Raw genomic sequence first — 27,454 nt, 5'->3', positions numbered from 1 at the left:
GGGAACCTTGGGGGCCATCCTGCAGACAATCGGTCCCTGTCCACCCCTCCATCACGGAGGCAGAGCAACCTTCCGTTTCTTCCAAGCAGGGCAGTTTCTCTTGTTCTAAGACAAGATCCCAAGGAGCCATTCTCTGTTGTCTTGGGCCCATTATTCTGTCTCTGACCTCCAGTAAGCAGATCAAATGCCCTGGGTTACCTTATTTAATCTTCTCAACCTTATGTTAAAGAAATTAATTAATGATGCTTATTAAAAGCACATTAATTATTGAAGACCATTGCAATGGGTATAGGGACCACAGCAATGGGATTTTGTAGTAAAGGAGAGAGATTGGGCTCAACTCTGATTATAGCATGGGCAAGTGGGAAGCCAGGAAGCAGGGTGGGGATCAGTGGATGGAAGATGACTGAGGAAACATCAGGGCGCTAGGGTGGATTCTGGGTAAGCTTACCTAGCAGTTTGTTACTGAAGGCAGGCCAGGGTGATCAGACATCACCTAGGGCAAGCTCGTCCAACCCGTGGGCCATATGTGGCCTAAGGCGGCTTTGAATGACATCCAACACAAATTCATAAGCTTTCTTAAAACATGAGATTTTTTTTTTACCATATATGTAGATATATGCACTTATCAGTTATTGTTAGTGGGTTTTATGTGTGGCCCAAGACAGTTCTTCCAGTGTGGCCCAGGGAAACTGAAAGATTGGATATCCCTAACCTAAGCATTAAACCTGGTTAGATAGCAAGTGAACAGATAATGGTGATCAAATATCAAGGATGAGTGGTTTTGTGGGTTTTTTTGTTTGTTTGTTTTTTGTTTTGCTAAAACCAGATTTTACAAAGAGGTACACAGATGGGCCCAGGAGCCTGACTAAAGTCTGGTCAAGCAAAACATCTTGGTCACTTATTATGGGCTGCTGGAACTTTTGTTTGTGTTTTTATGAGACAGAGTCTTGCTCTGTCACCCAGGCTGGAGTGCACTGTTGTGATCTTGGCTCACTGCGACCTCTGCCTCCTGGTTCAAGCGATCTTCCCACCTCAGCCTCCTGAATAGCTGGAACTATAGTCACACGCCACCACACCCGGCTGAGGTTTGTATTTTTGGCAGAGACGAAGTCTCACTATGTTGCCCAGGCTGGTCTCAAACTCCTGGCCTCAAATGATCCTCCCAAAGTTCTGGGATTATAGGCTTGATGATGGAAAGCTTTCAGTCCCTGGCAAGTTTTCTCGGTGTCATGGGACTTTCACAGTACACCTGGGTACATGGGGTGGCCTCTTCTCTGCAAAGCTGTGCATAACACAACCCTACATTGGCCTCGAGACTTCTGTGGGTTCCCTTGTATCAAGTTCCGCTTCCATTTTGTTCCGCTGCCCTACATCCTCAGAAGCCAGGTTTTCTCACCTTCAGCCCTACCGATGTCTGGGACGGACACTTCCTCGTCGTAAGGCCATCCTGTGCACTGTAGGATTTTTAGCAGTATCCCTGGCCTCTGCCTGCTAGATGCCAACGGCACTCCCCTCCCCCAGTTGTGGCAACCACACACTTTTCCAGTCATTGCCAAATGCCCCTGGGGGACGAAACTGCTCCAGTCGAGCTCCACTGGTACAAGCAACCTTGATGTGCGCTGTCAGCACCAGCACCAGCGTGCATTGTCTTTTTTTTTTTTGAGACCGAGTTTCACTCTTGTTGCCCAGGCTGGAGTGCAATGGCATGATCTTGGCTCATTGCAACCTCCGCCCCCTGGGTTCAAGCAATTCTCCTGCCTCAGCCTCTCAAGTAGCTGGGATTACAGGCATGCACCACCACACCCGGTTAATTTTGTATTTTTAGTAGAGACAGGGTTTCTCCATGTTGGTCCAGCTAGTCTCGAACTCCCGACCTCAGGAGATCCACCCGCCTCGGCCTCCCAAAGTGCTGGGATTACAGGCGTGAGCCACCACACCATTGCCATTTCTTTATCTTGCCTGGCACGGGGCTCTCAAAGGAGACGGGCTGTCCTTGAGCCGTTCTGAGACGTGTCCCTTCACCAGCACTCTGCAGGTACTAAGAATGGCAGTGCTGTGGACAGCGCTGTGTTCTTAGGGGCTGCCCACCTTCCCACCTCACTGGCACCAGCCCTGGGGTTCCTACTGGGGCCTCCCATGCAACCTCCTCTCTCCTGCTTGAAAAAGTGGCGTTGCCAGCCTGGCTCTGCGTCCAAGCCTTTCCTGTCATCTCCTGGGCCTGCCCTGGTCTGCGCCGCTTCTGTGCATTTCTGGGTTCCTGTCCTGCCTGTTGGCACTTGCCCAGCCCTGCACCTTTCTCCCGGCTGTCTGGGGTTGGTGAGGGCTGGCCAGGCTGCACCCTGCTGCTGTTCTCCGACCACAGTGGGGGAGCCTGTTTCTGGCAGAAAGTGGGAGTTGGGGTGGGATGGAAGTGAGGGGCTGGGTGGAGTCAGGCCTGGGCCCCCTTCTGCTGCAGCCCTCTGCTGCCCTCCCCCACGTGCCCTGAGTTCCACCCTTGCCTCGCTGATCCCAACGCTCTTGCTTATGCCCCGTGCGTGCTGTTCCCACTTCCTGGTGAATCACCTGTGAGTCTCTGAAGACTCAGCTGGAATGTGACCTTTGGGACCTTTTCCACTCTTCACTCTTCTTGTTACACCCCCAGGCCACACCCATCCCCATGCCCTTGTCTCTGTTTCCCCTCTTTTTTTTTTTTTTTTTTTTCTTTTTTTTTTTGAGACGAGTCTAACTCTGTTGCCCAGGCTGGAGTGTAGTGGCGTGGTCTCGGCTCACTGCGACTTCCGCTGTCCGTGTTCAACCAATTCTTCTGCCTCAGCCTCCCAAGTAGCTGGGATTACAGGTGCACAGCACCATGCCTGGCTAATTTTTTTGTATTTTTAGTAGAGATGGGGTTTCATGTCGTTGGCCAACCTAGTTTCGAACTCCTGACCTCAGGAGATGGTGTGGCCCACCTTGCAGGCTCTTCGAGTTGATGCAGAGGGTGGGTCTGCTTTGTTTTGGCTGCTTGGGCTGTGTCCCTGCAGCACCCAGACTCAGCCGGTGCAGCCCCTCTGTTTCAGAGCTGGGGACAGCCGCCTGCCGCTGGACATTGAGTCCAGGCTGGAGGTTTTCCTTCTGGGCTCTTCTGCTGCTGCGAAACGTGAGGAGTGGAAGCGGTGAGATCAGATGGGGCGTGGGTGAGCACCCAAACGGGGTCGGGTAAGCCCTCGTTTCCAGCCTGTCTGTGTAAAGTGCACCCCCATCCCCTTCCAAGGAGCCCCCCAGTGGAGACTTCCTGTGCAGAGGGGCACATTAGCAGTGAGGCCTGTTAAAGGCCCATCCGCTGCGAAGATGGGTGTCATATAAAAGGCGGAGAAATAACTCGCTTTAGTGGGGGTGTGGATAGATGGAAGCTCATGCTTTACTGATGGGATTATAGAGTGGAGAGCACTTGGCGGCCCCTCAGAATGTTAAACAGAATTACCATGTGACCCAGCAAGTCCACTCCTAGGTGTCGACACTGGAAATTGGAACAGGGGGACTCAGGTACTCAGATGTTCATTGCAGCACTATTCATGATAGCCGGAAGGTGGAAACAGCCCCAGTGTCCTTCAGCTAATGATGGATAAGCAAAAGGTGGTCCATCCATACAACAAAATACTAATCAGCCATAAAAAGGAGTGGAATGCTGACCCGCGCTACAACATAGGTGGGCCTCAAAAACACGATGCTAAATGAAAAGAGACAATCACAAAAGGCCACACATCATATAATTCCATTTATTATTTTTTTAGAGACGGGGTCTTGCCCTTTTACCCAGGCTGGAGTGCAGTGGCACGATCATAGCTCACTGCAGCCTTGACGTCCTGTGCTCACGCGATCCTCCCGCCTCAGCCTTTGGAGCAGCTAGGACTGTAAGCACATACCACCGTGCCTGGCGAATTTTTACGTTTTTAGTAGAGATGAGGTCTTGCTACGTTGCTGTGGCTGGTCTCAAACTCCTGGGCTCGAGTGATTCTCCTGCCTTGGCCTCCCAAAGTGCTCGGATGACAGGTGTGAGCCACCACGCCTGGCCATATAATTGCATTTATATGAAATGCCCAGAATACAGAAATGCATCAGGACAGAAAGTAGACGGGTGATGGCCAGGGCATGTGGGAGGGAGGAATGAGAGGAGATTGCTCGTGTACAGGGTTTTCTCCGAGGGTGATGAACATGTTTTGGATCTGTGAGGGTTGCACCGTATTGTGAAGGTCCTAAATGCCACTGTACACTTTAAAATGGTTAATTTTATGTGAATCTCATCGCAATGAAGAGAAAGATCCTGATTACCCTGTTACCCCTTGAGGGTTTGAGTTGTCATGGCTTGGTGCGGACCATGACTCATGCCCCACCCTAGTAGCATGGCCTTTCCCCCTTGGCTAAATACCTTGGGGGAAAGTTTACTGCTGCAGTGACTTTGTTTATCAAGGTGCCTGTGTGGGAGAAGGTCGTTTTCTCTCCAGCAGTCTCATTGACACTGGGTTTCCGGAAAAAGTCCAGGGCCAGGAATTAACAGTCACAGCACCTTACCTCTTGAGAGATTTTTTGTTTGTTTTCATTTCCAACCATGCTTTTTTGTTTGAATCCCCCGATTGCTTGACACTTGTCTTTTCCTATAATGAGGTTTGTGACAGTGAACAAGGCCCCAGGTCACCTGCTCTTGGTGCCAGTCTCTGTTAACGCTACCCCAGCGCCTCAAACAGATGAGGCTCACGGGCCGGGATCATACAGGCACGGTCAGTGCCAGGCAGGTCTTGGCCCTTTGCTTTGGTTGACTTGGTTGATAATCACGGCAATCTTCTGAGGCTGGGCTGTGACTCCTCTTGCTTTACAAATGGGGAAATTGAGGCAGAGAGCGTTTTAGTAGCTTGCCCAAGACTACACAGCTAGGAGGAGGCAGAGCCAGGATCACAAAGGAAAAACTTCCCAACTAGTGTGTAGCAGTATTCTCAAGGTGAGTTTATTCAAATACAGGTGATTGTTCAGCCTTTGATTTATATTTTCTAACTCTGGTTTTAAAGAATGAATATTTAGATTGATTAAAATACAGATTTTTTTGTCCTGCCTTTGATTATATTAGCTTGGGCACTATGTTCTCAAACCCAGACTTTGTGACAATTATGGGTGTGTTTCAGTAGGTCATGGGCGTCACGATGGGCTTTTCCAGCTTTGTTTGTATCAGCTATTGATTTCTGTCACATCAAAACAATATTAGCTAGTCACGGTGGTTCACATCTCTAATCCCAACACTTTGGGAGGCTGAGGCAGGAGAATCACTTAAGGCCAGAAGCTGGAGACCAGCCTGGGCAACATAGCAAGACCCCATCTCTACAGAAGACAAAAAAAAAAAAATTAGCCAGGCATCCTGGTGTGGTCCTGTAGTCCCAGCTACTCAGGAGGCTGAGTGGGGAGGATTGCCCGAGCCCAGGAGGTTGAGGCTGCAGGGAGCTGTGATGGCACCACTGCACTCCAGCCTGGTCAGCAGAGTGAGATCCCACCTCAGCAACACAAAACAAAAACAAAACCCAAAACCCAGTATTATGTAGCTCTGATGTGTTTTAGCTACATTTTGTGGCTATATCAGTATATATTAACTTGACCATATAATTCTCAACATTTATTTTCTGTGATTATTAAATTTTGATTTTTCTAATGTTGTGTCTTTTCCTTCTGCAGAGAATTCTGCCAGATATCAGGACAGATGGGGAACAGCAGAAGCCGTGTGGGGCGGAGCTTTTGTTCACAGTTTCTTCCTGAGGAACAGGCAGAGATTGATCAATTGTTTGATGCTCTGTCATCAGATAAAAACAGCCCGAATGTCTCATCCAAATCCTTCTCTCTGAAGGCACTACAGGCAAGAGTAACAACCCGTGGTTCATGTTTAGTTGGGAGCAGGGGTCTGCAAACTGTGGCTTTCAGGCCAGAATCTGCTTTCGTGTTTTTGTAATGGGATGGATGGCAACACTGAAAAGTTGGTTTTCTGTAAAGGGCCAGATGTGACCTAGTTTTGGCTTTGTGAGCTATGCGGTCTCTGTTGTAGCTCCTCTGCTCTGCCGTTACTGTGTGAAAATAGCCATAGACAGTGTCTAAACGCATCCCTCCCCGTTTTTGAAATCAATAGTCTCTTATCTGTACTACAGAAAGGAACCTGGAGTAGATAATGAATGATTCACACGACATTTGGGGACATTTCTAACTTGAGATGAACATCAGAGGAGAGAGATAGCCTGCCTCGTGTGTCTCTTGAACCACGTCCCTCCTGACTGCCCTCCCAGAGATGGGGAGACAGACGCGGTGATGGGTCTGCCCTCCTGGACTCGTCGGTCCAGGAACCATGACGTGTCAGGTGCACCGTTGCCTCTAGAATGTGTATGTGTTTGATGGCTAGGAATTTCATGATATTCCTAACAAAATAATCACATTTTAGATTCAAGGCTCATCTTGCAGGGAGTTAAAACTGCCCATTTGCCCATGTTTTTCCCCGTTCCATGGGGCTCTCAGCTGCAGGTTTGAGTGCTCGGACTGAGGCAAGACACTGACAAGGAGATGCCGTCAGCTCATCTTCCTGGGAGTCCAGGCAGCCATCCTAGCAGCCTCCTCCCTCTTCTAGAATGTGCAGCATGGGAGCAGATGAGGAAACTGGCCAGGGGGTTACATCCAGTGAGCTGTGATTGAGCCACCACACTCCATCCTGGGTGACAGAGGGAGACCCTGTCTCAAACAAACAAACAAACAAAAAACCAAAAAAAACCTAAATTTAAATAAAAATGAATGAAAAATACATGCTGAGCCCAAGGAACATGGACAGGAAGTAAAAGCTGGTATATTTGGAAACCCCTAACGTAGAGACGAAATTAGCTGTACACAGACATATGTTACATGTGTTAATAAATTCCGACATGCAAATGGCAGCTGCTAGAATCTAGAATGAAGATGATGTTCAAAGTAGAGTGAAGCTCAGATGGTGGCCAGAGGCAGGAATGACAAGACAGGAGAGTTTGGAGGCAGGATGGGAGCAGATTGTGGGAGAGTCTGATGGCCAAAGTGAGCTACACCCAGGACGCTTAGGTGGTGTGAGGCCCTTCGGTGAGAGAACGTCCTGCATCCTGGTGATGCAGGAGCATTTGGGAGCTGACAGCAGCATTGTGAAGTGGCCGAGGTTGGTCTGGGCCCCCTACTTATTTTCCTGTGATACTACTGATACGGCTCACGATGAGTGGAAGAACACCAGGGTTCTTGGTCCTTATGCCAGTTTAGATAAAATGACATGGACACACGTGGAGTGGCTTTAAGGAGCGGAGAGTTTAATAGGCAAGAAGGAAGGAGAAGGCGGAAGGAAGAGGCTCCCCTGTACAGAGACGGAGGGAGGGGTAGCTCCAAAGCCAAAAGAAGAGGTCCTCAAGTGCGGTGGACACCAGCCAGGTATATATGCAGAGGCTGGAGGAGGCGATGTCTGATTTGCACAGGGCTCTGGATTGGTTTGACCAGGTATGTCATTCACGTAGCCCATGAAAAAGCTGGCCCTCCCACCCTAGCCTTTTAATAAGTAAATGCAGGGCACCATGGATGTTCTATACACGTGGGGATATGTGGAGGCGGCCATGTTGCCAGGAACATGTGGGGAAAGGGCAAGAAAGCCATGGGAATCACCTTGGTGGGTGGACCCAGTTTCTAATGGCCGGCATTTGCATATCAAAGTTTCCGGCCTGGCTCTAAGAGACGGGGCTTTACAAGAAACTTTTTCAGAGATGCTTTAAAAAACGAAAACTTCCCAAGGACCCCTTTTCCTCTCTATCTGCCTAAAATAATAACTCCTAGTAACCAAGTTCAACTTGTGCACTGTCTAACCATATTTTTCTGCTTGTCCCCGGCAGAACCACGTCGGGGAAGCTCTTCCCCCAGAGATGGTCACCAGGCTGTATGATGGCATGCGGAGGGTCGACCTGACAGGGAAGGCGAAGGGACCCAGTGAGAACGTGTCCCAGGAGCAGTTCACAGCATCCATGTCCCACCTGTTGAAAGGAAACTCCGAGGAGAAGAGTCTCATGATTATGAAAATGATTTCTGCCACAGAAGGTCCCGTGAAGGCCAGAGAAGTCCAAAAGGTAGTGAGGCCGCGAGGTCCTTTGCAGCCTCCTCAGCAGTCTTGGTGACCATCGGTGGGGGGATGGAGGCCAGTTACATGGCACATGGAGGAGTAAACCAAAAAGTATTTGAGCTGGGTTTCAATTAATCGGAGTTTATTTTGCCAAGGTTAAGGGCATGTCTGGGAGAGAGGCCTGTGCCTTTCTCCAAAGATGATTTTGAGGGCTTCAGGACTTAAAGCGGAAAAGCAGACTGCAGGGGAAGGAGGGAGGGTCTGGTCCCATTACTGAATCCATATTTTGTTAAGAGGAAGGGAGCAGGTAGGGAAATAGTCAATGTGTGTTTGTCTTGCACTCAGTAAATCAGCACTTTACATATGATCAGGTGAGCATAGTCACTACCTGTGGAGATTTTATTTTATTTATTTATTTTTTGAAATGGAGTCTTGATCTGTCACCCAGGCTGGAGTTGAGTGGCGCGATCTTGACTCACTGCAACCTCTGCCTCTCAGGTTCAAGTGGTTCTCCTGCCTCAGCCTCCTGAGTAGCTGGGGCTACAGGCACACACCACCGTGCCTGGCCGATTTTTGTATTTTTAGTAGAAACGGGGTTTCACCACGTTGGCCAGGCTGGTCTCCAACTCCTGAGCTTAGGTGGTCCGCCTGCCTTGGCCTCCCAAAGTGGTAGGATTATAGGCATGAGCCACCACGCTGGCCAGCTGTGGAGATTTTAAACCTTTTATCTGTAGCTGTCTGCTTAGGAACAAAGGGAAAGGCAGTTTCTTGCAAGACTCAGCTTTTAGCTTAATTTTTCCTTTTGGCAGAGTGAATTGGAGTCCTGAGTTTTTATTTTTTCCTGCTTTGTCTTTCAGAAATCTTTTGGAGAAAGGATTTTAGAGGAAAATGAGTCTCAGGGCTTGGGTTTTGTCTGATCTGTCATGTCCAGAATGGTTTATTCCTAGTCAGATATGTTTTTAGGTAAGCTCATTTTTACCAGGTTGTGAAGTCTCATGTCCCGTGAAGAAAAAATAGTGGGGGAGGAAGAGAGAAAAACAACAAACAAAAAAGGGAAGACAACACTGGAAAACTCATATAGGCCATATTACTCTGAAGTCCATATATCAGCAGGCAGGTACGAAAATGGTTCTGTATATAAATAGGTCGCTGTTACTCCAGAGTTTAAGTTGTCTAGCTTTAGTTCTCAGAGCTTTAAGAAGAGCACAGCTTATTTTTTAATGATTTCAAATCAGAAAAATGGGGGGAAAAAAAGGAATAGAAGGAAGGAGAAAGATTGAAATGTTATTTTAAAGACTTGTAGCCAGGAAAAAATTCTAGGGTTCAGTCCAAATTGTAGAAAATAATAAAAATTGACACTGGTCAAAGCTAGAATCCAATAACCAGTGTACTATGGTTTATTTTGAAACATTTTTCTCTCTTCAGTTCCCCACTTTCATTAAAGACAAAATCATAGTAGGACCAACTTATTTGTAAAATAAGTTGTAGTCTAATTATACTTAGCTTGATTATTTTGCATAAAGTGCAGCAACAGTGATAATTTGCCATATAGACACTGACTCTCTTTGAATTATCTTTGCTAGAACTTTTCCTTAAGGAGTCTGAGATTAGACATTTTTATTTATTTTATTTTATTTTATTTCATTTTTTTAGATTAGACCTTTCTAAAAGCTCCAAGCCTAGCCAAGAATTTATCTGTGCCTGTAGATACCCATGTGACTTGGGTGAATTCCTCTCTCTTTGAGGTCCCAAGAAAACTTGGAGTATTTGGGCCTGTCAGAAAGTGACATCCTTTACTTACAGATCAGGACCCTGTAAAGGACAGTGTGAGGCCAGTTTGTCCAGTGGCTTTTATCAGCTCTACAGGTCAGCTTCATTTTCTCAAGGTAATCTGAAAATGCTGTTCCAGTCAAAGCCTTCATGAAATAACCAGTGTTTCCAATTATGTCCTGTTATAAAAGAAAACAGATTCTTATTGAATGTATGCAAATAATTATATTGCCATAAATTAAGAATACTCACAAATAGTTTCCAAATTTTAGAGAAATTAGGTAGACAGAAAGGGATTATGTTTTAAATTTTGCTCACTAGAGTATATTTTAATTGTTAAAAGCTGTAAATAGCTTAAAAGAGAAAGTTTTCTTGACTCTGGAAAAAAAACAGCTAATGTTGTAAACAAAATGTCATAAAAGATTATTTCGGTCATCTGTTAGTTCGGTCCACGCAATTAACTTCTTGCTTGCTTGATATTGGATCGGCAATCCTCATGAATACGTCAGCCCCCTATGAGTCCTAGAAGTTTTCCTTTCTATTCCAACAGCACAATCTCTGAAGTTATCGGAACCGATATTTAAGAGTACTCTTCAGAGTTCTATAGCTGACTATAAACTGCCCTATAAAAGGATCAAAGTAAAACAATTGTGGATGTCAAAAGTCTTAGAACAGCCATGGTTAAAGACACAATTGACAAGGAAATTTGGGTACTTCTCTGGCATACAACAACTTTACATAATAGTAATTACTACTGATAACATATACTAAGACACATCAGAATCACAGGAATCTCATAGAATTTTGGAACACATACTAATAACACACTTACATAAATGTGGTCCAAAGATGGTTAAACACCATTTCATATTTGACAGTGCTTCCTGTATGATTGTATTATACCAAGTAAGCCCAATATGTCTCCCTTGGAGCTCAAGGGACCTAATATCAAAACAATAATTGAGGTCAAAAGGACTGAATTTTGAATTTGATTCTGGAAAGTTTGTCAAATATCAGAAGTTTAAAACACTTGATATAGGCTGGGCGTAGTGGCTGACGCCTGTAATGCCAGCACTTTGGGAGGCCAAGGTGGGTGGATTATCTGAGGTCAAGAGTTCAAGACCAGCCTCGCTAACATGGTGAAACCCTGTCTCTACCAAAAATACAAAAATTGGCCAGGCGTGGTGGCACACACCTGTAGTCCCAGCTACTCGGGAGGCCAAGGCAGGAGAATCGCTTGAACTCGAGAGGTGGAGGTTGCAGTGAGCCAAGATTGTGCCACTGCACTCTAGCCTGGGTGACAGAGTCAGACTTCATCTCCAAAAATAAATAAATAAATAAATAAATAAAATAAAACACTTGATATCACAAAATAAGATCACAGGTCATTGTAAAATAAGTCATTTAGCCAAAGTGCTAACTCAAAGGTTTTGAAAAAAAGGGTAAAAACCTTTATTTTTTTGAGAGAGGAGACTTAATTTCCCAAACAATAAGCCCTAATAAAGACAGTATGAGGCCACTTAAATCTCTGTGAAGTCTTATAAACAAATCTATTAAATTTTAATCATCTTGACCATAAGATGTAATTTGTATAAACCTTTTTATAACCTTTTATAATTCTTTAAATGAAAAGGTGGGTTATGCTCCAAGAAAACCTTGTTAATCTGACACAAGGACCCAGATGCTGGTGTTGGATCAGTGTATGTTTGATATTAATATTTAATTTACAGAGAACCTCTGAACTAATTTTCTCTCTCAAAATCGGCCCTTACAATCTCATACATCCACCTCTTCCACAATAGTCCCTGGGCCTAGAGGGGTTAAATATTTTAAATTTCAGGCCCTGTGTCTCGTGAACACAGTTTGATTGCCATCTTTTCCTGGGTCTCAAAATGAGGCTTTAATTGTTTTCAGTGTTGAAGATTTAGCAGGATTCAAGTCTCTTTTAGCCCTAGGAATCACAGCCCTGTAACTTAACAGCAAAAGGACTTTAAAAACAATACAAAATGTTACATGGATATGATAACCTTAATTTAAAAAAATTTAAATCTGTTTTCTTTTTTCTTTTCTTTTTTTTTTTTTTGAGACGGAGTCTTGCGCCTTCACCGAGGCTGGAGTGCAGTGGCGCGATCTCAGTCACTGCAAGCTCCGCCTCCTGGGTTCACGTCATTCTCCTGCCTTAGCTTCCCAAGTGGCTGGGACTACAGGTGCACGCCACCACGCCCAGGTAATTTTTTGTACTTTTAGTAGAGATGGGGTTTCACCATGTTAGCCAGTATGGCCTTGATCTCCTGACCTCGTGATCCACCTGCCTCGGCCTCCCAAAGTGCTGGGATTATAGGCGTGAGTCACCGTGCCCAGACGTTTTTTTTTTTTTTTTTAAGACAGGGTCTCGCTCCGTTGCCCAGTCTGGAGTGCAGTGGCACAACCTCAGCTCACTACAACCTCTGCCTCCCAGGCTCAAGCGATTCTCCTGCCTCAGCATCCCAAGTAGGTAGGATTACAGGTGTGTGTCACCATACCTGGTTAATTTTTGTATTTTTAGTAGAGACGGGGGTCTCATCATGTTGGCCAGGCTGGTCGCGACCTCCTAACCTCAAATGATCTGCCCACCTTGGCCTCCCAAAGTTAATTTTTGTATTTTTAGAGATACAGTTTCACCACGTTGGCCAGACTGGTCTCGAACTCCTGACCTCAAGTAATCCACTCGCCTTGGCCTCCCAAAGTGGAGGGATTACAGGCGTGAGCCACCACGCCCAGCCCCCTACTTCTGTTTTTGATTTAAATAATTTGAATTGTCTCCCTTTTTTCTGTCAGTGTAGCTAAAGATTCTTCATATTTTTGTTGATCTTTTCAATGAACCAACTTTTGGTTTCATTAAAGAGTAGCTGTGTAGTAATAACTTTTTTAGACAAAAATCAGGTAACACAGTAGAAAAGCAGCTTAAGAGCTGAGAGGAACTGGTCTGTTTATAACTTTGGGGTTCTGTAAAGAAACAAATTTCTCTCAGAAACGAGTGTGGCACCTTCTCTGTTTTCTTTAAGGAATCCCAGACTCTTAGACATTATTTTAGGTCCTTCATACAGCGGAGGGTAGCAAGAGGAAGGAGAGACACGCAGAAGCAAATGGAGAAAAAAATTCAGTTGATTGAGAAGGAAATAAATCTTCTTTTTTCTAAAAACAAGACCCTAGGAGAGACAAAAAGGCATTATGTCCCTTTAAATACACACACACACACACACACACACACACACACACACACACATCTTGATTAGCTTTTAATTAAGCTGACTTTAACCATTGAGCTCTTTAAAAAAATCATTTTAAATCTTTTACTACCGTATTTTACCTGGGACAAAAATGACTGGTATTTCAAAAGTAACACAAATATCAAACCAGAAAGGATTTTGATGTAGGAACCAAACTCAGGCTGTTGAGGTAAAAAAAAAAAAAAAAAAAAAAAAAAAAAAAAAAAAGGCGGGGCAGAAACTTAGCCGCCCAGCGAGAGTGTGGGCCGCTGCCCTGGGTCTTTTAGTTTGGGCCTGGCTAGTAAAGGTTATGGAAATAAAGCCCCTCAAGGCAGTCAAAATGTTTTTTTCCTTTTGGTGGCCTTGCTCTTTCCTTCTTTTTTTTTTTTTTCCCCCAGCTATGGGAATTTAGCCAATTCAGAGGCCTTGTTTCCCTATAATTTGGAACGTTCCCTCGGATTTGACCAAGTCAGGTAGAGTTGATCAAACCAAGTGGGAAAAAGACTGAAACAATAAAAACAGAAGCCACAAATAAAAACAGTTCAGCAAAACAAACACACGCTCACACAGTTTGTACAATTACTGAGTGCTCTAATGGTAAGGAGAAGACCATTGGTAAATGAAGACCAGTTGGTTGTTTAAGTTTTAGTCATCAGGAGAATTTTTAAGACAAAACCCCAATTCATCTACTTTCCTAGGAGTGGGGCCCAGGCTGCAGACTGCCCTCTGCCATCTTAGAAGCAGGAAAACCTCCAATTCCCCTTCCCTGTTGGAAGCGAGCTGCAACTCCAGAAAGCAGTTGCTTGCCCTCTATCATTATGGAAACAGGAAGACTTGCCTTCCTTTTTGGAAGCAAGTAAAACTCAGCAAAATAAACCTTAGATCTCAACCAAATTTGGGGAGATCAGGGATTTTCTGGAGGGGGTAGCTCCTGGGCCTCAGCAAATCATCCTGTTGGTTTGAGCAATGAAGACAGCAGGCATTGTGGAGCTGTCCATCCTCGGGGAGTCCTAAACCCCAATACTGTTGGGATGAGGTCAGAACTCCTGGACAAAGGCTTTGGGAAAAGTTCTAGGCCAGCCAAGTGCATCATTAGAAAAACGAGTAACTACATACATTGCATGACCTTTCCCCACATTGTGGCCCATCATAGTTGGTGTTAAAGAAAATTGCCCTTCTCCATGTGGGCATGACATAGGTCTCAGGATATGGTGGAACTGTTTTTAATGGTAAAATTGTGATCTTACAGTTTACAGAGGATCTGGTTGGCTCTGTGGTGCACGTGCTAAGCCACAGACAGGAGCTGAGAGGCTGGACTGGGAAGGAAGCCCCAGGGCCCAACCCCCGGGTGCAGGTGCTGGCTGCTCAGCTGCTCTCTGACATGAAGCTGCAAGGCAAGTGTGCGTGGACGCGGTGATGCAGGTCTTTTGCTGTAGAGCGGTACCTGCTGTCTCCATTACTGTAGCTGTGTAGTAAAGCTTTGAAACCAGAATGCGTGAGCCCTCGAACCTTCTTCTAGGTTTTCTAGTTTGTTGGCATATTTTAAAATAATCCTTATTTTCCCAAAAGCAATAGGGATGTCCCCACTTCCATTACTGATTTAAATAATTTGTCTCTTGTCCCTTTTTCCTCTTAGTCTAGCTAAAGGGTTTTCACATTTTTGTCGGTACTTTTTGAAGAACCAGCTTTTAGTTTCATTAATTTTCTGTTGTCTTTCTAGTTTCTATTTATTTTCCTCTAGCTTTTATTTTCTTCCTTCTGTTTGCTTTAAATTTGTTTGGTCTTCTTTTCCTAGTTTCTTAAGATAGAATACTAGGTTATTGATTCGAGATCTTCTTTTTCAAATAAGCATTTACACTTGCACATTTCCCTTTCAGCACTGCCTTCGCTGCATGCCATAAGTTTTGATAGGTTATGTTTTTATTTTCATTGATCTCAATATTTTCTAATGTCCCTTAGGATTTTTTCATTTGGCCTACTGGCTATGTAACAGTGTGTTATTTAATTTCTCCATGCCTGTGAATTCCTCAAATTGCCTTTTAGTACTGATTTTTGATTATATTTCATTATGTTTAGAGAAGATACTTTGTATTATTTGAATCCTTTAAAATTTGTTGATGCATCATTTATGGCCTATAGTATGGTCACTTCTGGATAATGTTTAAAGCACATTTGAGAAGAATGTGTATTCTGTTGTTGGGTGAGAAGCAGTATATATTTAAATTTAATTGGGATTAAAAAAAAAAACCTTGTGGCAAATCACTTTGCAAAGCAGACTTACTTTATAAATATGTTGCCCTTTTGTTTTAAAGCCAGATTTTAAAGTACAGCTTGAAAATAGGTTATATTTCAGAAGTTAGTTTAGATGAGGTATTTGGAACTTGGAAAGAATTTTACAAGTAAGTATCAGTAATTCGTCTTATGGGTAAACTGTTCATCCATCTAGAATCAGTATGTTTTAAAAGAAGAATCATGAAAATAAAAATTAAAGTTTTCAGTGAAGTAGAAAAGGTAATTCAGACGATTAAAATTATCCTTAAGATTTCAAGTAATATATAGGTAATGAGAAATGAAACTGTTTGAAAAATAAATAGAAATGATAGGAATTTTGAATTATCAGAAGTTGGGAGTACTTTTACATTTCCTGCTTAATAAAATGGGCCTGAGTTACACAAAATATTTCAGCTTAGTCAAATTTTCGCTAGGTTGGGAATTATAATCTCTGTAAATGGGGCCTTTGTGTCAGCAAGAGCTTAAGACGTAAAAGCTCCTCTGTTCCTTGTAATAACCGAGCGGGGCAGGTTCTGGCCTTACCTCCATTTTATACCTGAGGAAACTGAGGCACAGAGGTCCAGACCTTGGCAAGGTCATGCTGTTCCTGAGCTCGGGTTTGAAGCCAGCTGTTCGAGTCCCAGGTGTGTGCTCCCACGCTCTTACTGTCACCTCCACTCTTAGTGGGTGAGGGATGGAAAATAGGGCTCCAAGTGCTGTATGATTAAGCCTGATTAGTGGCGAATGAAACCCGCACTTCCCAGATAAACTGCAGGAGTCCCAGGAAGTGCCCTACCAGCCCCTTGACTGGCTGGGAACATTCCCCTTCCAGTGACCTTGGCAGGACCGACGCCCTTGGATGAGCGGCTCCAGGTGTAGCTCAGGCATTTATTCCAGCCCCATTGCCAGGGCACTGCCATCTCGAGGGGTTCTGAAATGCTGCTTGGAGAGGAGAGAAAAGTGTTGAAGTCGGATTGTTTAGATCAGTGCTGGCCAATAGACAAAGCAAGCCCCATGTGAAATTTTCCCTTTTCTAGGGACCATGTTAAAAGAGTAAAGAGAAACAGGGGAAAACTGATTCTAATAATATGTCCTAAATACAATTTTGAAATGTAATGAATATTTAAAAATTGAGATATTTTACATTCTTTTTTCATACCAAATCTTTGAAATCAAGTGTGCCTTTTACACTGACGGCACCTCTCAATTCACACGAGCCCTGTTTTCTGTGCTCAGTAATTGCATGTGACTCGTGGCTCCCACACTGATCAGTGTGGGTTTAGATAGTAGCTAAATGGTGACATAACAGCCCCACTAATGCTGACCATCCCCTTCCCCTAGATGGCAAGAGACTTCTGGGGCCCCAGTGGCTGGACTATGACTGTGACCGAGCTGTGATCGAGGACTGGGTGTTCAGGGTCCCCCATGTGGCCATATTCCTGAGTGTGGTCATTTGCAAGGGCTTTCTCATCCTGTGCTCGTCTCTTGATCTGACTACCCTGGTCCCTGAGCGTCAAGTGGACCAGGGCAGGGGTTTTGAGAGCATCCTGGATGTCCTCTCTGTCATGTACATCAACGCCCAGCTGCCTCGGGAGCAGCGGCACCGCTGGTGCCTGCTCTTTTCGTCTGAGCTCCATGGACACAGCTTCTCCCAGCTCTGTGGCCACATCACTCACCGGGGACCCTGTGTGGCTGTCCTCGAGGACCATGACAAGCATGTGTTCGGTGGGTTTGCCTCTTGCTCTTGGGAGGTGAAGCCTCAGTTTCAAGGTAAGACTTGGTGTCCTGAACCTTGACGAGTGGCACAGCACGGGCAAAGAGCTCTGGAGAAAGGGAGAGGGTGGGGGTGCTAAATAGGGCTCTCCCATCTTCTCCAAGTGTTTCTCTAGACGCAGTCGGGGCGATAGGAAAATGTGATGCTGCTCTATGGTGTTTATCACATCAGAGTTCTTCAGGACAGGCCGTGTGACCCCCAGTTTTCAGGCGAGGACACGGGCCCAGTTATTACACGGTGCCGGGTCTATGGGGCGTGGGAGAAGTCAAGCCACAGATGCCTCCGAGGGGACCAGGAGATGGTAATTGGTTCAGATCGGACATTTTCCTTCCCTGGGCCTTCCTGCCCCTGCCCCCACCGCCACGCGTTTGCTTGTTGGAATTTGGAAGCTTTGTGCATGACCTTGAATGCACTGGATGAAAGGTTCTAAGTAAATTCTTTTCCTTCCCTCAAGGAAGAATACTCTGATGAAAAGAGTCCTTTAAAAATATTTAAAACACAGGCCAGGTGCAGTGGCTCACACCTGGAATCCCAGCATTTTGGGAGGCTGAGGCAGGAGGATCACTTGAACCCAGGAGTTTGAGACCAGCATGGGCAACATAGTGAGACCTTGCCTCTATCTTAAAAAAAAAAAAAAAATAATAAGGCTGGGCGTGGTGGCTCAAGCCTGTAATCCCAGCACTTTGGGAGTCCGAGGCAGGTGGATCACTTGAGGTCAGGCATTTGAGACCAGCCTGGTGAACGTGGTGAAACCACGTCTCTACTGAAAGTACACAAATTAGATGGGTGTGGTGGCGCATGCCTGTAATCCCAGCTACGTGGGAGGCTGAGGCATGAGAATTGCTTGAACCTCGGAAGCAGAGTTGCAGTGAGCCGAGATCATACCACCGCACTCCAGCCTGAGCAACAGAGCGAGACTCCATCTCTAGATAGATAGATAGATAGATAGATAGGTAGATAGATGGATGGATGGATGGATGGATGGATAGATAGATAGTTTTTGAAATGTTTACAGATGCGTCGCCCATCAGTGGGCTGTCCTCTGTACTTGAGAGTGGGCCACCATCCCCAGGGTTTGCCTTTGGCATTCCCCGGTACATCCTGTATCTTACCCCGCACCTCTGGAATCGTCATTTCTCCACCAGGCAGAGGTTCTGAAGGCCGGGAACTGTGTCCAGGTGGAGTTGCCCTTGCAGGAGAGCTTTCAGCAGAGGCTAGGTGGCATCTGGCTGGAATAGGTAGCAGGGGTCACCAGGTTGAGGGTTGGGCACCTCTATCTCCTAGATTGCATTGTTTCTAGGGTTTGATTTATATCTAGGTTTCAGGATGTTCTAGATCTTTATCTTAGTTCTGGGAATGGTGGGAATTCTCCCCAAATCAAAGTTTCCAGGTGCCAGCCCAGGGCCGGCCCTGCAGGTGGGCCTTTCTAGAGACAGCAGCCTCAGCCTTGCCACGGCCACTCTCTTCTGCACACCCACCTTGCCCTGCCTCCATGTCACAGGCATAGGGCATGTGCCCACCAGCCCAGCCTCGGGCTCCGGGGAAATTACACATTGCTCTGCCTCACTGCATGGCTGAAGGCTCGGCTTTAGGATATGAAGAGACCCTGAGCATCATGATCAGGGTAAAGCTGCTGCTCCCTCCAGAGCCTTTAATGTTAATTTCAGATGGACTCTGCTGGCTCTTTATGTTTTATTAACAAGCAGACTTAATCTTGCTGAAGCATGTGGGAAAAATGCAGTGGCCAAGTTTTCAAACCCGAGTTCATTCTGTTGCAGTACGTGTCCATACTCACGAAACAACAGCAGAGGGCAGCCTCACACCACGCATGGTACAAATCCGTGGACTGTGGGTCAAGTTCGGAGAGCGTGCTGTCCGCTTGTCCTGGAAATAATGACCTCTAATATCTGAGACTTTAAGTGATTTAATAGCTGTGGGACAAACAATGAAGGCAAATGCTGGGGAGGGTGGCCACCTCCTTGAGTACAGAGGATATTTCCCTGCGGGGTAATGTGGCTTCGTAAACCTTTTTAAAGGACTGTTTTCATCAGAGTGTTTTTGCTTGAGGAAAGAAGAACTGATTATACTTAGAGCCTTTTGGCTTGTGTTTTCTGTGCAATCATTGAAAAGGCCCAAGGCTTTGGATTGAACACAGGATTTTGAGTCCCAGCTCTAGCCCTGGGCAAGGTGATTGATTCATTTTCTGGGCCTCAGCTCCTCAGAATTACACGAAACCATGCTGTGTGGGCAGGCAGCTCCTCGGCGGCCGAGCGTCAGGTGCTGGTGGCCGCACGCTTGGGTATTGTTTTATGGGAATGAGATAAGGAGTCCTCGTTGTTGGTGTCACTTTTTTCCACAGATAATCATAACTCATCAGGTCCTTGCCCTGTATTCTGGGAATGATGCTTCCCCCTCCTGGCTTTCCCTATGGAGAACAGCCCTTGGGGGTGGACTAGGATCTGGGCCTATCGCAGCTGAGGCCTGAACTCTGTGGCCCTGCGACCTTGCTCCGCAGCAAGACGGGCTCAGGATTGCAAAGCAAAGGGCCGCTTACCTGAAGTCCAGTCGGGGAGAGCGGGGCGGGGGCAGTGCAGACGGGTGTGACCCAGCTGTTCATGGCGGCGTCTAAACCTGCCCTCAAGCCTCTGGGGCTGCTGAAACCCAGTGAAGCAAGCCTGAGTCTGTAGCCCAGAGTAAAGCCCTTCACTTAGCTGGTTCCAGTGGAACTTTCTAGCCTAACTATCCTCCTTCCTCCACCCGATGCTCTCAAGCCCCACTGTTCCGTACCTGTCCCACACCTTGTCCTCATGGGATCCCTTCTCCATGGGGACTCTTGCCCCAGCCAGCTCTGTTTCAGGGCCTCCCTCTTGACCTCGGAAGCTGCCTCCCAGAAGCCTCCCAGACCCTGATGGCAGAGGCCCCCCAGCGATCTTTCTAGATTGGAGCCTTGGGCGGTGTCAGCCCACACTCTACAGACTGAGCCCTGTTGGCTTGCTCGGGGCCATCGTCCTCTTCCAGCCTCCTGGTCTTGGTGCCCCCTTCTTATCTGCGTTCCATCATGGTGCCCCCAATTTGCTTCCTGTGACTTCTTTCCCACCTGATGAATAGCCCAACCCCAAATTCCCATGAGCTTGTTTCTCTGCAGCCTTCCAGCTTGTTGTGACAGTTGTGTATGCTGGTGTCGAGGCGGGCAGCCCTTCCGGCCAAGTCCTCAGAACATGGTGGGAAGTGTCCCTCGCTGGGAGCTCCGAGGACGAGGCCTGGCCTACGGCCCTGTCCCCAGTGCTGAGGTGCTTATGGAGTGGAGGAGTCTCTGAGACTGGGGACCCATAGTTTCCAGAGTTTTGACTGGTACCTTTCTTTTAATGGCCTGTGTGCCCACCCCATGCCTTTGGGCGAGGGTAAACTACTTCCTTTCGTAGGCCGTGCCCCTGGGGACAGCTCTGCAGCTGCAGGTTTTCTCTCTCTGCATGGTACGTTCTTTCAGGCCGGGGTCAGCACTACGCAGCGTCACTTGCCTGCTCAGGTAGGCTGTGCTGGAGGCCTCAGTCTCTGCGGAGTGACCACCTGCCCCGTGCTCATAAGCTAAAGGAAGCCTGCTCTTTCTGGCTCGGATGTGCTTGGCCAGCCTGAACTGATTCCAGCAGACAGTGGGCAGAGTTCTGATCTCTGCTCCCCTGGCCAGAGCTAAAAGATGTCCCATTCCTTATTAGCTGTCCCTCTAATCCCTGCATCCCCAGCTCATCCACCTGGGTCCCTAGCAGCTTGTCCCAAACCCTGATCTGCCGACACCTGGACATGGGTGAGAAGGGTCTTGGCCCTGTTGCTTCCTGAGCTGCAGCTTACCGGCATTTCCGGCCCTGTGGGACCGGCTCAGACACCGACCCTGTTTGTTTTGTTCTCTGGCTACTTTCAGGGGACAACAGATGCTTCCTGTTCTCCATCTGCCCCAGCATGGCTGTGTACACACACACGGGCTACAACGACCACTACATGTACTTGAACCATGGACAGCAGACGATCCCGAACGGACTGGTGAGCCCGGGCAGAGCGTGGTGGTCTTGCCTTGGTGATGTCCCCCAGCAAAGGTGTCAACCCCGAGGCTCAGCTCCACAGATCAGGGCAGGGCGCGTGGCATTCAGTTCCTCACGCACGCCATGTCCAGTTCCTTCTGTTTCCAGGGCCGGTGCTGGGGGCAGTGACAGCTGGGCCAGGGTTTCCCTTAGAGAAGGATGTGGCCTCTGCTGGGGCTTCTCAGTGGTTTGTGTGCAGATGGCACACTTGGCCCATTTTTCTGGCCCTCAGATGATTGGTTTGTAGCCTTTGTGGCTAGGGATGGTGTCAGCGCCAGACCTGTCCCTGCGCGTCGCTGGCCTGCCTCATACGTGGGAGTGCTGGACCAAGGGGAATGGACGGCCGGCAGCTCATGAGACAGCATGTGGGGCCCCAGTTGGGGTGACCGTGGCTCCTGTCCAGCCCTCGCTTCAGCTTGGTGACATGGCACAGGAAGCAGGGGGAAGCGGGGGAGGCCTAGGCCGGGTGCAGGGAGTGGGTGGGCACGGGTCCAGGCAGGCCCGAGGGCAGGAGTTGGGGCAGCATCCACGCCGAAGCTCAGCTTGCTCCTGCCAGCTCCCCTGCTGATTTCTTTCCTCTGCTGCTTGACAGAAAGCTCTTTTCTTTTCTTTTTTTTCTTTTTGAGATGGAGTCCACTCTTGTCCAGGCTGGAGTGCAGTGGCGCGATCTCGGCTCACTGCAAGCTCCGCCTCCCAGGTTCACGCCATTCTCCTGCCTCAGCCTCCCAAGTAGCTGGGACCACAGGCACCCGCTATCACGCCTGGCTAATTTTTTTGTATTTTTAGTAGAGACGGGGTTTCACCATGTTAGCCAGGATGGTCTCCATCTCCTGACCTCGTGATCCACCCGCCTTGGCCTCCTAAAGTGCTGGGATTACAGGCGTGAGCCACTGCGCCCAGCTGACAGAAAGCTCTTATTGGGAAAATCCAGCCCTGTTTCTGCAGAGCTGAGGGCAGAGAAGGCTGGTCCGATATAGGGACCAGCGTCCTTCCCAGGCTTACCACACTGCTGCCCTGGAGAGAGGGAGGGGCGTGGCCAGGCCACCTAGAACACCTGGCACCTTCTGGAAAGGGCGGTCTGGTGGCGGCAGGAGTGAGGGTGCCAGCCTCACAGGCAGCACCCGGCAGGCCCCGGTCATCGCTCGTCATTGGCCCTGAGAGAGCGGCTCCGCGTGTCAACTCTGGGCAGTGTGCTCGGGTCTCTGGTTGCCCAAGGTCAGAACTAGGGCGTGCCAGGTGTTACAGGCCTACCAGGGACCAGAGGAGGTTCTCTGCAGGGTGAGATTGAACAGCTCAGAGCCCAGCCATGTGACTGAGGGTGGAAGGCACAGGGGTTCGCATCCGCCTCCGGGTCTGCCTCCGCATCCTGTAAGCCACACACTCGGAGCTGAGTTTCCCAGCCTGTCTTGGGGTGAGGATCGCTGCCCGGAAGCGGGGCACTGGGGCCCCAACACAGGGGGTTTGCAGTGTCAGCTTCTGTGTTCACCTCTCCCCTTATCTTAACTGGGCGGGGCCCTGGGCCCTGGAGGTCTCTTTCTCTATATATATTTAACATTTTTAATTCTCTGATGTCACTTGTGCTTTCAGCCAGCAAATCTTCTTGAGAAAGAGCCATGGGGTGGGTGTCTGGAGACATAGATGACTGTTCTAGTAACTTGGCATGGGATGCTTAAATGGCAGTAATTGATATATTTCACAGTTAAGGAAAACAAGATGATGGCATTCACCACTCACCCGCCCCTGTCTCAGGCTGGTACTTAAGGCGAGAGGCTGGCTTGTGGTATTTGATGTCCACAGACCCTGAGGAGTTGCTGATGCTATTCTCTGTCCTGGCTTCCTTTGCAGGGTATGGGGGGGCAGCACAATTACTTTGGGCTTTGGGTGGATGTTGATTTTGGGAAAGGACACAGCAGAGCCAAGCCCACGTGCACCACGTACAACAGCCCGCAGCTGTCGGCTCAGGAGAACTTCCAGTTTGATAAGATGGAGGTGTGGGCGGTTGGAGACCCCTCAGAGGAGCAGTTGGTGAGTGGAGCTGTCCTCTGCATCCCAGGATGGCCCCTTGAGCCTGGGGGCCTTTCTGCATTTTCTTACCATTACCCCTTTACTCTTCTGTCTGCAGATAGTTTATCCCAAATTTGATCCTGGTAGCTGATGCTGGCTTGGATGCCAGGAGATGCATGGCTGGAAGTCTTGTCTGGGATTTGTGGGTGGTTTAGTAGAGCAGCCCTGGGAAGGGGGGTTCCCCAAGTGCGAGCCCAGGTGGCCCTTCATTCTCTCTGCCCACCTGCAAGAGGAGGAATGTCTAGGGTTCCTTCCGCTTCCCTGGTTCTGCACCTGAGTTGCTGTTGGCCCCTGAACCTCCTGTAATACCTCCTACCCACCCAGCCACTGAATCCCAGAGTGGGAGGGGCCTTAGGGGGAACCGGAGCCTGATTCCACCCAAGAAGGCTGGAAAACTAGCAGGAAGCTGCTGCCTCTTGTTGGGCCATCATGGAACACACCCACCCTTTCTTCTCTTCTCAAGGCCAAGGGCAACAAGAGCATCCTGGATGCGGACCCTGAGGCCCAGGCCCTGCTGGAGATCAGTGGGCATTCGCGCCACAGCGAAGGGCTCCGGGAAGTCCCGGACGATGAATGAGGAGCCGCCTGAGCCTTCCTGGAGCCAGGACCTGGATTCCTCTGGGTAGAGGGCAACGCCTGCAGCCCCTCTTCCCTCCCACATGGTTTAACTGTAATAGCGTACCGCACGGGTCACAGCCTGGTAGTCCCACATGTGCCAAGAAGACGCCCTCTGAAGCCATGTCCTGACTCATGGGTGGATCTCCCAGAAATAGATGTTTTTTAAGTTTTCTTTTTTTCCCTACAGGGTCACCCTCAGGATCTCTCCAAGAAATCTTGTGTCAAATTAGTAACTCAGTCTTATACTTTGTTCTTTTTTACCAACGAAATCCTAAGCAGCTGAGACCTTTCAGACCCCCGCTGGCATTAGGGAATTCCGCTGGCATTAGGGAATTCCGCTGGCATTAGGGAATTCCGCTGGCATTAGGGAATTCCGCTGGCATTAGGGAATTCCGCTGGCATTAGGGAATTCCGCTGGCATTAGGGAATTCCGCTGGCATTAGGGAATTCCGCTGGCATTAGGGAATTCCGCTGGCATTAGCATTGCTGGGATCTCAACTTCTCTATTGAGGAGGGGGTTCCTCCCGCTGGGGTTCATATGGCCTCACTCAGGCCATCCCTGTTAGAAGGTGGTACCTGATGGTCTGTTCTGACGGGTGAGGGACAGAGGCATCTGGATGAAAATCTCGACGCTTTCTGGGAACAGCTTCCAATGGCATGGGAGTTCTGTATTTAAAAGCATGAACTGTGTATAAAATGGGGAAATGGAGGCAGGAGACTTTGAGGTAACATGGTCTGGTGGTGGCATGAGTCCTCAGAAGGTATTTGTAATAAGGTTCCACACCCAGCTCTCTCAGCTGTTTTTAAATGAATGTGTGTGAGGAACAGATGGGAAAGTTGGGAGATCTGTCTACAGAGAAGCAAAGTTGTGGTTCTCTTGCTAACTTCAAGGTGAGGGACATTGGGCACCCTAAGTTTGGGAACTTGGTTGATAAATACGTATATGGTCCATTCCATAAATCAGTGGTGAGTGACTGGCCTGGGTTCTAGACCTCTGGGAACCAGCACCTGAGTCACAGCTGTCTAGGCCTCGGTGCTGGCCTGGGTTCTAGATCTCTGGGAACCAGTGCCTGAGTCACAGCTGTCAGTGCAGCCATTTGCCCAGGGCTGCTCCCGAGGGGGATGATGGGAAATTCAGCAGTGTAGACTGACTTTAAACAAGCTCCGGTGATCCTGAAATGCTGAAGATCGTGTAGGTGGGTTGTGGGGTCAGCAGAGCTGCCATCTGCCCACGTCTGGAAAACAACACACGGTGAGTCACCGGTTGGCCATGAGATCTCCCCACTTAAAGGTGCTGTGAGCTTGTCTCTAAGATATATACCTCTTCCTTTTGTCTTTTGCTGTAAGCTTTGACCTTTTGCAGATCTGATGAAAATACAACCTCTTATTGTATAGTTTGCCTTGATTATAAGCCATAGTAAATCGAGCTGTTCGCATTTTTGCAGGCCTTGCATTTTCTACTGGGAGGTTCATCAAACCTTCCACTTAGCAATAGCCCTGACTCAGGCAGAATGCCTCATAAATTAGCCTTCGAAAGAAAAGTGCACGCTCAGACAGTGTGTGGAGGGGCAGGAGCGTGATGCAGACAAGGACTTAGTCATGACTGATTTTCCTTAGCCAGTTTGTAATGGCTTATGGGGAACATTGTGAGCTTCCTACCTGACATGTTGGCAGAAGTAGAATATTAGGATCCTCAAGCATCTCTACCGTAAGTCCAAAGAATTTAGGTCCCTATTGTCACTTTGTTTTGCAATGTTTTTTATAAAAATGCAATTAAATACCTCACTATTAAACTGCCATGATGCCTCAGTTAAAAAAAAAATTAAATGTCCGTCAGTGTCTGTGCCTTGGTGACCATTGATTGCTGCTTCTGCCCAGGCCGCTGCAAAGGTTAGGACTTTGTCCACTCACATGCTTTCCACCCTGAGCTTGTTCTAAGGAGAGTGCAGATCACGAATGCACCTGCTTCCAGGCAGTGCACTTAGAGAAAGGTCACTGGCCCGGGCTTGGGAGCCTGGGGGATGCAGCTCTCTCTGTGGGCTTCTCTTGGTGCACGGTTCTGCCTCTGGACACTCAAACCTTTTTAGGGCGTGTGCAGGGCTGGGGCCAGTGGACCTGACAGTACCTTACCTGGCTCTGAGAAACTCGCAATCCTAGTTTGCACAAATGAATAGTTTGTTCTTTTGTGAAACCAGAATGAGAATTCAGGTTCTAAGGACTAGAGGTCTCCCTACAAATGAAGACTTATCAGGGCCCTAGAAAGTGCTAGGAGGAAGGGGTTAAAAAAAAAATTTGTCCGCGTTGCAAACTATTATAAATGATTGCCACATTGCAAGCTATTATTTTCTCCCACCATATTTTTTAATTAAAAAAAAGTCTGGGGCCGGGTGCGGTGGCTCACGCCTGTAATCCCAGCACTTTGGGAGGCCGAGGTAGGCGGATCACCTGAGGTCGGAAGTTCGAGACCAGCCTGACCAACATGGAGAAACCCCATCTCTACTAAAAATACAAAATTAGCTGGGCATGGTGGCACATGCCTGTAATCTCAGCTACTCAGGAGGCTGAGGTAGTAGAATTGCTTGAACCAGGGAGGCAGAGGTTGTGGTGAGCCGAGATCGTGCCATTGCACTCTAGCCTGGGCAACAAGAGTGAAACTCCGTTTCAAGAAAAAAAAAAAGGCTGGGTGTGATGGCTCACGCCTGTAATCCCAGCATTTTGGGAGCTTGAGGCAGGCCGATTGCTTGAGCCCAGGAGTTCAAGACCAGCCTGGGCAACATGGCGAAAACCCATCTCTACAAAAAAAAATACGAAAATTAACCAGGCATGGTAACACATGCCTGTGGTCCTAGCTACTTGGGAGGCTGAGGTGTGAGGATCATTTAGGCCTGGAAGGTTGAGGCTGCTATAAGCTGTGATTGTGCCACTGCACTCCAGCCTGGGCAACACAGCAAGACCCTATGTTTAAAAAAAATTGTGTACCTGGTTTAGAAAAAAAAGATAAAAGGATACAACTTAAAGTCAGTCATCTTCCTGCCTCTTCTCCAGCTATTTTCCCTCCTGACAGGCAAAGGCACTGATGCAAAAATCACTCAGGTCTCCTCCCTGTGACTTGGTGCACACCTGGGCATCACTGTCTTTTACACACTGATGTGTCCCTCGCTTTCTTTTTTAAAGGGAGGTCCGTAACCACCCACCTGCCTCCCTCTTGTCTTTATGGACTGCGTGATGTCCCACCATATGGATGCTCTCGGGCCTAGCGTTCCACCGTCTGCAGCTGGGGAACATTTTGTTTGCAGCTAATCATTGTCATGAATATCGTTTATGTGTGCCTTGCTGTGATGGTGTCTGTGGGATAAACTCTTAGAATTGGAATTGTTGGATTGAGAGGTATATGCCTTTTATTTAGATATAGATGAATTAAAAAAACCTCTTGAGCTCAATTTATACTCAATATACCGGGGTGCCTGTTTGCCATGTTTTCAGCAAAACTGTATTAAAATATGTTTTTTTAACCTGA

General features: G+C 47.7%; 1 protein-coding gene across 4 annotated transcripts in view, besides 2 other annotated features; it reads left to right on the top strand.

Annotated features, from left to right (window-relative positions):
• MEAK7 (MTOR associated protein MEAK7) overlaps positions 1-27,454 on the top strand; it is a 28,305-nt gene extending 851 nt beyond the window's left edge. For 3 of the 4 annotated variants that reach the window (NM_020947.4, XM_005256075.3, XM_017023511.2), the window contains 7 exons: positions 5,698-5,875; positions 7,896-8,126; positions 14,387-14,531; positions 16,750-17,178; positions 21,099-21,217; positions 23,101-23,280; positions 23,783-27,454. In NM_020947.4, the coding sequence (NP_065998.3) occupies positions 5,723-5,875; positions 7,896-8,126; positions 14,387-14,531; positions 16,750-17,178; positions 21,099-21,217; positions 23,101-23,280; positions 23,783-23,896 (1,371 nt within the window). In that variant the 5' untranslated portion in view covers positions 5,698-5,722 and the 3' untranslated portion in view covers positions 23,897-27,454. Of the gene's footprint in view, positions 1-1,050; positions 1,089-5,697; positions 5,876-7,895; positions 8,127-14,386; positions 14,532-16,749; positions 17,179-21,098; positions 21,218-23,100; positions 23,281-23,782 lie in introns of those variants that run through there. The other variant, XM_047434410.1, reaches the window with a different exon arrangement.
• Positions 20,045-20,546: an enhancer, noted in NCBI's record as "H3K27ac hESC enhancer chr16:84516869-84517370 (GRCh37/hg19 assembly coordinates)". NCBI's record gives its function as "activates a minimal SCP1, AML or CMV promoter by ChIP-STARR-seq in primed H9 embryonic stem cells {active_cell/tissue: H9 hESC(primed)}" and the evidence as "EXISTENCE:reporter gene assay evidence [ECO:0000049][PMID:30033119]".
• Positions 23,627-24,826: an enhancer, noted in NCBI's record as "BRD4-independent group 4 enhancer chr16:84512589-84513788 (GRCh37/hg19 assembly coordinates)". NCBI's record gives its function as "activates an origin of replication core promoter dependent on BRD2, P300/CBP, MED14 and CDK7 cofactors, and independent of BRD4, by STARR-seq in HCT116 cells {active_cell/tissue: HCT116}" and the evidence as "EXISTENCE:reporter gene assay evidence [ECO:0000049][PMID:35650434]".

This window comes from Homo sapiens, chromosome 16 (assembly GCF_000001405.40).
Source record: "Homo sapiens chromosome 16, GRCh38.p14 Primary Assembly".
NCBI classification, from domain to species: Eukaryota; Metazoa; Chordata; class Mammalia; order Primates; family Hominidae; genus Homo; species Homo sapiens.
The sequence above is the reverse complement of the archived record's forward strand: the minus strand, read 5'-3'. Positions and strand labels throughout refer to the sequence as shown.